A 12,685-nucleotide genomic window follows, 5' to 3' on the forward strand; every position below is an offset into this window, starting at 1 on the left:
TGTTTTCTCTAAGCCCCAGTATGATTCCTTCTTGATGTTCCTGCGTCAGGATCTGTTTCCATTGTGAGAGACAGGCCAAACAGAGTCTCCTAGAAAGATCTAATGAAGAATCACACTTAGATAAGATCCCTGAGCTTTTTGGAGACCTGTGGATTCTAGCAAGTGTCTTAGAAGTCTCCTGATGAGCAATAGCATTATGGATTCCTTATCCTCATTTTAATCAGGGTAGCTGATTAAATGTTCAAAATTTAAAACCTATTTAAGACCTAGTCGTTTTTCTTTCTACTTCTCTTTTTCTCTTTCTCAGCACTTTTTGAGCTCTGTCTTTGCTGCTCCCATTGCTGTCATACTTTTTATACTTTTCAGACAGTCTCCAGAGAAAGTCATCATACTTTAGGACCAGACATGTGGGATTTGACTCAGAAGAGACCTCCTTGTTTAAAAGTTTAACTTTTACTATTTTATACAGCATGTTTGATGCTTAATTGTTCTTGACATCTGAAATTTGGATTAACTGTTTTTCTTCAGTCAAGTTACAAATTTAAGAGTTCATAAGATTTTTAAAAACACTATGGTAATAGTTTTATAGCAAAGGACGTACAAGGTCAGTGGATAGAATGCCATATTGGAGGTGTTTTCATATATACCTAAGGCCATATAAAAGTGGAATGTACCTTGAACTGGTTCCTGTTCCATACTCTTGTTTTTGTTTTTGTTTTTTTTTTTTTTTTTTTTTTTTTTTTTTTTTTGAGACAGGGTCTCACTCTGTCACCCAGGCTGGAGTGCACTGGTGTGATCATGACTCACTGCAGCTTTGACTGCCCTGACTCAAGTGGTTCTCCTGCCTCAGCTTCCTGAGTAGTTGGTACTACATGTGTGCACCACCATGCCTGGCTATTTTTTAACAAATTTTTTGTAGAGATGGGGTCTCACTGTGTTGGCCTGGCTGGTCTCGAACTCCTGTGCTCAAGCCATCCTCTCACCTCGGCCTCCCAAAATGTTGGGATTACAGTTGTGAGCCACCGTGCCTGGCCAGTACTCTTTTAGTAGTAAAAAGAATTTTAAGACCCTGTTACTGAGGTCAGTATGATGTGTTTGTAATGAATTTTTCTGTTGAATGCATTAAAATTGTCACTAATGAAGCTAAACTTAAGTATTTTTAAAATAAGCATATTAGTTTAATCAAAAGTAATAAAAACTTCTGACTTTTAATGTATTATTTCAGTTGAACATCGCCCAAGCAGATTCTTTTTTTTTTTTCTTTTTTTCTTTTTTTTGAGACCGAGTCTTGCTCCGTCACCCAGGCTGGAGTGCAGTGGCACGATCTTGGCTCACTGCAACCTCCGCCTCCCGGGTTCAGGCGATTCTCCAGCCTCAGCCTCCCTAGTAGCTGGGATTGCAGGTGCCTGCCACCACGCCTGGCTAATTTGTGTACTTTTAGTAGAGACAGGGTTTCGCCATGTTGGCCAGGTTGGTCTCAAACTCCTGACCTTGTGATCCACCCGCCTCGGCCTCCCAAAGTGTTGGGATTACAGGTGTGAGCCACCGCACCCGGCTCAGATTCTTTTTTTTTTTTTGAGACAGTCTTGCCGTTGCCCAGGCTGGAGTGCAGTGGTGCCATCTTGGCTCACTGCAGGCTCCACCTCCCAGGTTTCACGCCATTCTCCTGCCTCAACCTCCTGAGTAGCTGGGACTACAGGCGCCCGCCACCTCGCCCAGCTAATTTTTTGTATTTTTAGTAGAGACGGGGTTTCACCGTGTTAGCCAGGATGGTCTCGATCTCCTGATCTCGTGATCTGCCCGCCTCGGCCTCCCAAAGTGCTGGGATTACAGGCGTGAGCCACCGTGCCCGGCCAGATTCTTAATAATTAATGAGCAGGGCTTAAGAGTTTTACAGCCAGCAAATTAAGAATATAATACTTTTAAAAATTTTGCTTAAGATCTTGAAGATCCATCATTTAGCCCCATGTTTAAAAAATGGACTGTTTTCACTTGAGTACTATTTTTAGCAAGTATTTGTCATTCCTTACAGAAATATGATAAATTCCCCTTATATTTCTAGCTTTCAGGTACAGTTGAAGGTACACTCTTAAAAATTTATCCGACACAGCACCTGGAGGAAAACCTTTGTAGTAACATCAACCTTTGAGAGACCCATCTGTTTTTGCCTATAAGTTCCAACCTTAAGCCATCAATTCTGTTTTGACAAAAGCCAGTTGTTAGAATCTGTTTTCAAAATCAAGCAGGAGTTTGTCCATCTTTATTTCTCTTGTTTTCTTCTGCTTTCTTTACCTGTTTCTCTTTCCTCTTACTCCTAATCTTATGTTCCCTTATTCTCTGTGTTTTATTGTTGGACTCTTGACTCGATAGGCTTTTTTGTCTTTTAACCCTTTTTCTAAAAATCTTAACCTCTGTCCTGAATTTATACTCTAATTCCTGGTTTCAGCTTTGATTTTCCTCAGAGGATCTTTTGGTCCTTTTCCTGGTGTCCCTTAGGAATTGAAGTAGGAACATACATCCTCTGAAGAGAGGGATAGAGGTCTCTAGAAAGCCAAATAATTATGTACTAGATGGGACTATAATGGGGAACAAAACTGGACAGAGAATGAAGGCCCAAAGGTGACTGACCTCACTTTTTTCCCATCCTCACTATTTCACATACAGACACAACCTACACACACTTCCCCTCTTCTATTTGTGTGTTTAAATTCTCTTTTCTTTTTTTTAAAGAGATGGGGTCTTGCTCTGTTGCTCAGGCCAGAGTTCAGTGGCATGATAGCTCACTGTATCCTTGGGCTCAAATGATCCTCCTGCCTCGGCCTCTCAAGTAGCGGGACTACAGCCACTCCTGGCTGTTTTTTTTTTTTTTTTTTTTTTTTTTGGAGAGACGTGGTCTTGCTGTGTTGCCCAGTCTGGAATCCTGTTCTTTTAAAACTTAACAAGTTTAAGAAATTATTAGGGAAGTTTCATAGAGAAAAACCAGCTCAGGTTTTTCTCTATGAAACATTCCGTAACCTTCCCACATTGATATTTCTTTTTTTTTCTATAGAATCTGTAGACATTGCTTTTTTTTTTTTTTTTTCCACGTGGAGTCTCACTCTGTCACCCAAGGTGGAGTGCAGTGGCGCTATGGCTCACTGCAACCCCCGCCTCCTGGGTTCAAGTGATTCTCCCTTCCTCAGACTTCCAAGCAGCTGGGATTACAGGCATCTGCCACCATGCCCGGCTAATTTTTGTATTTTTAGTAGAGACAGGGTTTTGCCATGTTGGCCAGGCTGGTCTCTGAACTCCTGGCCTCAGGCGATCTGCCCACCCTGGCCTCCCAGAGTGCTGGGATTACAGGCATGAGCCACCATGCCCAGCCAGACATTGCTTTTTATTTTAGGCATGTGAGTCTTATTTATTTCAGAATACCTTTAAAGCAGAGAAATCATTCTATAGACCGTTTTGTCTCCTTTTTTTTCCCCGCAGGCTCCCTTCCTTTTTTTTTTTTTTTTTTTTCCCCACATGCCTTTACTCTTGTACCTAGAGGGTCTAGTAGGAGATTAATATATAAGGTGTATACCACACATAACATTTTAGGATGTGTCTGCCACTGTTCTGTGGTAGTAGGTCATCTGTTAATGGGAGATTTCATAGCAGAGGTGATGTCTTCTATGAATTAGAGATACTTGGCTGTCCAGGCATGATATTTGTAATGAATATTATATCAGTATTCAAGGAAGTATTGAATGTACCAAAGAAGGTAGAGCAGGATAGGTAGGAGCATTGTAGAAAAAGTATTAAGTCACAATAATTGGCTTAATGTGTGGTGCCAGTTGTAGTGATCTCCAAAGCCTGGTCATAAAGGAACTGCTTCTACCTCCGGTGGTATTTGCATTCCTTCATCATAGCCTATTGGGAAAGTGTTTGAGCTGTGGCCATGCATTAACCTTCATCACCTAAATGAAATATTTCTTCTGTTTTGGAGGTTTCTGTCTGGTAGGGAAAAAGTGGGGACTTTTCCAACTTTTCTTTCTTGTACCTAATACCTGCTTCACTTAGCTCTTGAGGTCTTTTCATTTTATGGAATAAAAAAATACATAACAAAATTATGATTGGTATCGGCCACCAGAGTATTGTTCTAATTTCCTAAACTGCTGTGTGTGCCTGATGATAGTTCTGCTATGTTTGTAACTTTAAAAAGTATTTCAAGTGAAATTACTATTATGAAGTGGCTGCAGTATTGCTTTGTTTTCCTTGTCTTGAGTTTATGGTATATGTTCTGTCTCTCTCTCTGTCGCTGTCGTTAAGTTCCTCTCCATCAGCACATAGAGATCTCATGTTTTGCTACTTGTCAGGAAATGTTTTCTCTCTTAAATACTTCCCTCAAAATAGTTTTTTTAGGATCAATCATGATGGCTGTCTAGTAAATATATTTTTATATTTACCAGATTATTTTAGTTCTGAAATATAGTTTAACTTTAATTATAATATAGATTTTACCTATTATAAAAATTGTTTTGTTTGGCATTTATTTCTGTTCTTCCTTTTCTTCAAATTTGATGGCAGTATTTATATTCTGCATAGCATATTTATTGTTTTACTTAGCGTAGAAACATTTTTCACACGGGAAAAGCTGCCTTGAGGAAATATTGAAAAACTCTTTTAATAGAAAGGTAATGAAATATTAGGTATAAAATTAGATTGTTTGGACATTCTACAGAGACTCTTGTTTCTTAAGTGACTTATGTTAGTCATCCAATCCCATTAACCAAACAAATATACAGTCATTTGATGATTCTACAGATCATAAAATGTACCAAGTTATATTCATAGAAATGTTGGCCAGGCATGGTGGCTCATGCCTGTAATCCCAGCGCTTTGGGAGGCCAAGGTGGGTGGATCACCTGAGGTCAGGAGTTCGAGACTAGCCTGGCCAACATGACGAAACCCCATCTCTACTAAAAATACAAAAAGTAGCTGGGCGTGGTGGTGCGCCTGTAATCCCAGCTACTCGGGAGGCTGAGTCAGGAGAATTGCTTGAACCCAGGAGGTGGAGGTTGTAGTGAGCCGAGATCAGGCCATTGCACTCCAGCCTGGGTGACAGAGCGAGACTCTGTCTTAAAAAATAATAATAATAATAATAAATGTCCACCAGATTTTAATATATAGATTGTTTATTTTATGCTATTTTTTTTGGTGGGGGGCGGGTAGGTCCAAAGACTTACAGAAGATACTGCAATTTAAACAAAAACACCTTGCATACCAAAACTTAAAACAAATATAAGCTGGAAAGCTCTTTTCAAATATTTTAGCTATCCCATGTATAGAATAAAATTCTCTCTTAAATTCCTGCTCCTTTTCCTTCCTGTTTCTCAGCAAATTGATGTAGTTTTAGTGTTTGGTTCACTTCTCCCTCATCACTTAAAGTAACTTTGGGTTTTATGTTGTTTAAGGTTGAGCTTAAAGGACTTTGGTTACCACTTTAAAAAAATCTTCTGGTTTCAGAAATTAAGATATGCAGTTTTAAAAGCTATTCATTATTTGTCATATTACTCCTAAAATTTTCCCCAAATGTGGATTGATTTTTTTAAAAAAACTTTTTCTGGCATTTTCATTTTAAGATACAAGTAGTATACCCTCCGCTTATTAATGAGAGGGAGAGCAAGGATAAGTTAATCTTTACTCTTACTTGATAATGTTTGTTTTTATTGTTTAAAAGCAACAACAAAAGGATTACAGATAAATGCTTCACTTTAAAATATTGACATTTCAAAGGTATCATTTGTCATTAAAGATTGTTTTAACATCACACACAACTTGTTCACTGGGCTATTCATTTGAAGAATTTGTTTCTTGAGATAGTATTTCTTGCCTATTCAAATAACAGGTAGTATTTTAGGATTTTAAAAAATTCCACTTAAGCCAGGGTTGGTTTTGATAGCCTCACTTCTCTGTATACAATTATGATTTGCTTTCTTAAAATTTATATTCTGAAGTTACAGTTATAAATGTATTCTGATTTCAATGGTATGATGTCTTGCAATTTTATTTAGAAAGTATAATTTGACTACTCTAGCCATATTATTTTTAGAAAAGTTGAGGTCCTTTTTCAAAATATGTTTTGAAGATGGAAATTCAAAATATTAGGGTCTTAAAATAGAATCACATATGAACCTGTGTGGTGAACATTAACCCATTGGTAGTCTCAACTTGAGACTGCATTTGAACTACACTTGTGAGTGATTTTTCTTAGCTTTTTGAGATAGCCAGGGCTTTCTGTATAAGTGCTAACATACTCCTTTGGTGACCTCCATTATTCCCAGATTATGCATCTTTCCTACACTTGCATTTTCAGTTGGGGATAGAATAGTGAGTGGAGTTACGGTCCAGCTCTGACTTAGGACTATGTTACATCTTTCTCATGCCTGAATTCACCTTCAGTTTGGGCCCAAGTGGGTCCAATTCCCATTGGAACTAGGACATTGCCTGTGGCCCTTGTGCTGCTCCCAGTTGAATGGGATACCTCAGCCCTAACTTTCTGGTTCAGATGTTTAGGAACATGGCTTGAACTTCTAGCAGTTTTCAGGTAGGTGGTTCCCTCATAAGAAGATACTAACTAAATCTGACTTATAAGGCTGGCCCACAATTTAAAAAACTAAAATTTTCTGTATATATTACATGATTTATCTTTATATTCTCTAGTTACAGTGGATCATATGCATAGTTGCATATTTTTATTTGGGAAATGTATTTTGCTTATGATATGCTTACTATCTAAAGAAAGTTACTGGCCGGGTGCAGTGGCTCACGCCTGTAATCCTAGCACTTTGGGAGGCCGAGGCTGGTGGATTGCCTAAGCTCAGGAGTTTGAGATCAGCCTGGGCAACACGGTGAAACCCTGTCTCTACTAAAATACAAAAAATTAGCTGGTCGTGGTGGCATGCACCTGTAGTACCAGCTACTTGGGAGGCTGAGGCAGGAGAATTGCTTGAACCTGGGAGGCAGAGGTTGCAGTGTGCCAAGATCGTGCCCCTGCACTCCAGCCTGGGTAACAAAGCGAGACTCTGTCTCAGAAAAAAAAAAAGAAAGTTATCTCTAAAAATAAGGAATTGCTTAAAAGCATTATTGTTTTTGATTGAGTTACTCTTTATTAAAACTAAAATTTTGTAGTTATTCTATTTAATTTTAATTGAATGTAATATCAAATAATCTAACCAGTGATCTGTTGGTGTGATGGCCTAATGGCAAATAAAGTCTTTGCATACAAGTTTATAATGATTTGAAAATCTCATGTTAGGAAGAGTCCTTTGAGTACAACTGTAGAGTAATAGTAGAGTAGAGATTGCATATGAAATGCATGGCCTCTAATTTTTTTCCCTTTATTTAAACCTTCCCCTCCTTTGTTATGTAGTGTAGCATATTATTTCCCAAAAGTGCCACTTTATTTCACTGCATACAAGTTGAGTTTTCCTTAAAATTTTTTAGGTGAGTACCCAGAACATGAAGATGGGTGGGCTGCCGCGTACAACACCTCCAACTCAGAAGCCCCCTAGTCCCCCTATGTCAGGGAAAGGGACACTTGGGTGAGTATATAAGTAGTAATTGAAAACCATTTCATGTAGTATTGTTTAAAAATGAAGCACAACATATTTAAATTATTTTTTGAATATTTGAAGAGAGAACATTTTCTTTGTAGGATTGTTGTTTGTGTGTATAACTTCCTCTTCTCTTGGGAAACACATTTTTATACTTCAGAAAGATTTGTTTAGAAATTGTTTTTCTAGTGAATTTTAAATTTGAGGTAAAATCCTAGCCCAAGTTCATAGTTTATTGTAAATTGCAGTCTAATTTTAATTCCTTTTCTTTCAGAAAATGTATATAGTCTTTTATATTACAGTTTAACTCCAACTATCCTTTTTAAGCTGTGTAGATTATAAAATTCTATAAAACTTATAAGAATATTGAGCTTCAGGCCAGGTGTGTTGGCTCATGCCTGTAATTCCCAAAGTGGGGATTTTGAGAGACCAAAGCGGGCAGATCACTTGAGCCCAGGAGTTTAAGACCAGCCTGGGCAACATGGTGAAACCCTGTCTCTACGAAAAATACAAAAATAAGCTGGGTGTGGTGGCATGCACCTGTAGTCCCAGCTACTTGCGAGGCTGAGACAGGAGGATCACCTGAGCCCAGGAGGTTGAGGCTGCAGTGAGCCGTGATCATGCCACTGTGCTGCAGCCTCAGTGGCAGAGTGAGCCCCTGTCTCAAAAAAAAAAAAAAAAAAGAAGAATATGGAGCTTTATTTTGGTCCTAGAGTTGGGCTCTAGATTTGACTTTTGGCAAAAATGGCCAATTAATGGAAAAGCTTGACTTTTTTCTTCTAGAGCATCGTATTATAAACTTGACTTACTGTGATTGAGATTTACGATTAGGTTGGCATTAGTATAGCCCAGAAGCCAGGTGATTAAAATTCTGTTTCAGCTGTGCTGTTACTTTATAATTCCTACATAGTCAGCTGCCAAGAATTCAGTTTTTTCATCTGTAAAAGGGGGGTAATATTTGTCCTCTATAAATTTTTCAAGGTCACTGTACCACAAATTGGATTTTTAAAAATGTGTAAGACAAAGACAAAATGTTTTGACAACCATTGGCTTTATGATATATGCTAAACAAGTTTTTAATTGACAGTCTTGTTTTTGGCTTCCTCAGCACCACCACCATCACCACCACCACCACCACCACCACCACCACCACCACCACCAACAACAACAACAACAACAACAACAACAAAACAACCACAAACCTTCAAAAAACCGAAACCCAATCAAGCACTGAATCAGGATAGGACCAAATGATTTGAGATGTAGTGGAGGATAGTGCTGGAAGAGAGATAATAGGACAGTAGGAGACCAAAGAATAAAAATAAATTCCAACCAGGAATAGGATGACTTTATTAGGAGTGGACAAAATAATTCTGCTTAGAGAGAGAGAAAATCTAGTGGATCAAACAAGATTTAAACTTCAAGGTAGAATGTAGATGGCATAGTAGTGTATAATGGTGCCAGGGGTCGGGGTAGAGAGATGAAGAGGAACTCTGTTTTTATTTTCCTATGTAAACATTTACATTTATATCATGTGTAGTGCCTTATGGATTTTGTTGGGTTTTAAGTCAAGATTGTTAGTAAGATAAGCTACTTAGTCCCCAGAAAGTCCCTAGAAGAATGAAACTTTGTGTTGTTTTCAAGTTTTGAAGATTTGCTCATATACCAATGTTTGTTTTCCTTGTATATTAGCAATGGTTCTGCAAGATCCTTGGGGACCAGAGTTGCTGAGGCCCACTCTGCTAGTTGATGGCTATAACCTGTTTTTCCACATAGTCTTTGCCTAGTCACCACATTTTGTTCCTTTGCTCCTTTTTTTTTTAAAAAAAATCTTATTTGTGTCATTGCCTTCACTCTGTAGTTCTCAATTATCAAATAATTTTTACTTGGATGCAACAGAACTTATTTTTTTGAGACAGAGTCTCACTGGAGTGCGGTTGTACAATATTGGCTCACTGCAACCTCTGCCTTCTGTGCCCAGGCAATTCTCTTGCCTCCAGGCGATTCTCCTGCTTCAGCCTCCTGAGTAGCTGGGATTACAGGTGTGCGCCACCATTCCCAGCTAATTTTTGTATTTTTAGTAGAGATGGGGTTTTGCCATGTTGGCCAGGCTGGTCTCAAACTCCTGAGCTCAAGTGCTCTGCCTGCCCCGGCCTCCCGAAGTGCTGGGATTACAGGCATGAGCCACTGCACCCGGCTGCAACAAAACATTTTTATTGCCTGGGAAAAATTGTCTGAAAATTAGATGTTGGAGAAATTAATGTTTCCCATTTTATTGTTTAATATTTGCATTATAATTTAAGAGATGCTGGAACTTCCTTTTAGTATTTTAAATCCAAAGTCCTGACATTACTTTTTCCTCTTTTGACCCAAGATTTCATCCAGTGTCCCTTATTTTATTTTTAATTACCAATGTATGTATTTATGTAAGGAGACTTTGAAGGGTAGTAGAGTAAATTGCAAAGTGATCTCATGCAAAATCAGTGATCCATAACTTGAGTGCCCCAGGAAAGCAATAGTTAAAGGAACTCTGGGATCCATACATAAGTCAGTAGAGCAACATCATTTCAGGAAAAGAAAGGTTTTTAATTTTCACATCTTGATCAGTTCTTATTCTTTTAGTGACCAAGATCTCATCTACAATATGTCAATTGACTGTTTATCATTGTCATAAAGAATTTGGAAACCTAAGTAGAAATGAGAACTAATTTAATAAACACTAATTTCCCCATGTGCATCCTGTTCCCTGTCATATTTCCTTTCTTCCTCTTTTCATCCTCTTTACGAGGAAATTTTGGGAAAAGGCGGGAAATATGTGTTAATAAAATCCAGTCTGGTTTGTATTTTACAGTTCAAAGTAAATAATATAGAAAGGCTGTTGTGGTGGTCATTCCCTTCCCCCCACCTTTGTAAATGTTGAACTCTGAGGAAGGAAAGAGAAAAGAGATCAAGGTGAAAGTTGAGGGAGAAAGTGAGAACGGAAGATGAGATTAAAGTGTGTATTTTTGTATATAGATATACTTTAATTTCTGTATATTTGGTATATAGAAAGGGAAATGAGTTGTTATGGCTAGTATTGATCATCAGTGTGGGGGTTATAGATCCTAAATCTAGATTTGTAGTTCCTGTCTTTGAATATCTTTGGTTAGGGAGAGAAGGGAGAGGAGAATAATTAGTGCATTCATGAAGTACAGTTGGGAGACTTTAATATGATACTAAAAGAATTCCAACTCTTCTAAGAAGAGGTAGGGTCTGGGAAACATTGGCTTAAATGGTAGAGAACCTTTGTGCTCTTTGAGAATAAATGAACAAAATTGCATTAGCACAGGGAAATGAGGTTGGAGACTGAAAAATAACAATATTCACCAAAACCCTAATGGTGGAGAAGTGATACATTAGTAAAGACTGAAATTGGTAGCTGGGTTATGTTAAAACACATTTCCTATCTCTGATTACAAATTGTATCTCAACTGCTGGCAACTCTTTGAATTTATTGTGCCGAAACTTGCTTAATCATACAATACATACGCTCTTCTTTTTGTAGGCGGCACTCCCCCTATCGCACACTGGAGCCAGTGCGTCCTCCAGTGGTACCAAATGATTACGTACCTAGCCCAACCCGTAATATGGCTCCCTCGCAGCAGAGCCCTGTGAGGACAGCTTCTGTGAATCAAAGAAATCGAACTTACAGGTATTTTCTCTACCTCAGTGCAAAATGTGATGGTCATAGTACCATAATCTGTTCAGATTACTTCAGGTAAATCTCTCATTTTCCAAGCACTAAGTTCTTTTCCTCACTCTATTCTCCCAAACCTCATCTGATTTCACCTCTCTCTCCTCATGTTCTGATTCAACTTTGAGCAGTCAGGAAGTTGATAAAGAACAGACATCTCAAAGTGCAGACTTCTCTCCAAGTTTTAAGAGTTCAGTTGATCTGGAAAAAAAATTATGGACCAAATGTGGGAAATGTCAGGTTGTTTTTTGGTGGAACTTTACAGATGAAAAACTATACATAATAAAACATTAATATGGGATAGTACATCAGAGTATGATTATTAATTAAAATTACTCAAATCTGTTTAGGAAAATGTTTTTGTTTTATTATAAAAGAAGTTTCTTCAGATAGGCATTAAACTGGAATATAAAAAGGCAATATTTATTGTTTTAATGTGTTAAACCTCAACATTTATCACTTGTATTTATGGATAATTTTTTCAAAATGTGGTCAAAACAAGCTTATTGAACTCAGTTTTCCCCTCAACTTTATTAATAAGTAAATATATATATATATATACACACACACACACACACACACACACACACACACACATTTTTTTTTAACCTGTCACTGACTTGGAGCTCAAGGAAATTTTATTTTGAAGTGGTACGCTTTTGAATTACCTTTATTGTAGCTACATTCATCTCAGAAAATGTCGGGAAGTGCTGATGATCTCTTACTGTTTATAAATACTCATGTTTTGGTGGCTCTTATTTCTTTAGCAGCAGTGGGAGTAGTGGAGGGAGCCACCCAAGTAGTCGGAGCAGCAGTCGAGAGAACAGTGGAAGTGGTAGTGTGGGGGTTCCTATTGCTGTTCCTACTCCATCTCCTCCCAGTGTCTTTCCAGGTAAAACATTCATGGTGCCTCGTCTTCACTTTTCCTTTCTGAATTTGATTCAATTTGTGATTTAATTATGGTGGGCTTTCTTCGTAATCAGGATTTTTTTTCTTTAGGAATCATAAATATTGGGAAGTCTATATATTTGTTATTTGTAAGCAAGTGATTTGTAAGTGTTTGCTCACTTTGCACTTCTCTTTATGCCTTTGGTGATGTGGCTCAGTTGCTGCTTTGAGGTTTCAGATCACACTTTGTTATGAGTACAAGTTTAATTCCAGCTAGTGTTATGACAGTGCAGTCTTTGGACACAGTGGGAACTCAGTGTGAGAACCATATTAGTAACAAAGGATTGGGCAGATATAAAAAGTAGTTTTGACAGTTAAATTTAGTGGCTGTATTGGAATTTAGTAGTCTCTGAAAATACTACCCTCTTTTCTCTGAAACAGAAAAATCTGCTTATTTGATTCGAGGAGATACACACTTAAAACT

The 12,685-nt window shown here is 38.0% G+C and overlaps 1 protein-coding gene across 123 annotated transcripts in view; it reads left to right on the forward strand.

Moving 5' to 3' along the window:
- The window catches only part of ABI2 (abl interactor 2), a 103,776-nt gene that overhangs the window by 55,182 nt on the left and 35,909 nt on the right, over nucleotides 1-12,685 (forward strand). For 50 of the 123 annotated variants that reach the window (NR_164705.1, NR_164715.1, NR_164707.1 and 47 more), the window contains 3 exons: nucleotides 7,471-7,568; nucleotides 11,125-11,271; nucleotides 12,081-12,205. The exons of 3 other annotated variants lie outside the window; for them this stretch is intronic. Coding sequence is in view for 108 of the 120 variants with exons in the window: in NM_001375663.1 (NP_001362592.1) it covers nucleotides 7,471-7,568; nucleotides 11,125-11,271; nucleotides 12,081-12,205 (370 nt within the window). In the remaining 12 variants the exon portion in view is untranslated. The remainder of the gene's footprint in view (nucleotides 1-7,470; nucleotides 7,569-11,124; nucleotides 11,272-12,080; nucleotides 12,206-12,685) is intronic. 70 more of the 123 variants (NR_164713.1, NR_164712.1, NM_001375719.1 and 67 more) reach the window with 5 other exon arrangements.

The sequence above is a fragment of the Homo sapiens genome, chromosome 2 (genome assembly GCF_000001405.40).
Source record: "Homo sapiens chromosome 2, GRCh38.p14 Primary Assembly".
Lineage (NCBI taxonomy): Eukaryota > Metazoa > Chordata > Mammalia > Primates > Hominidae > Homo > Homo sapiens.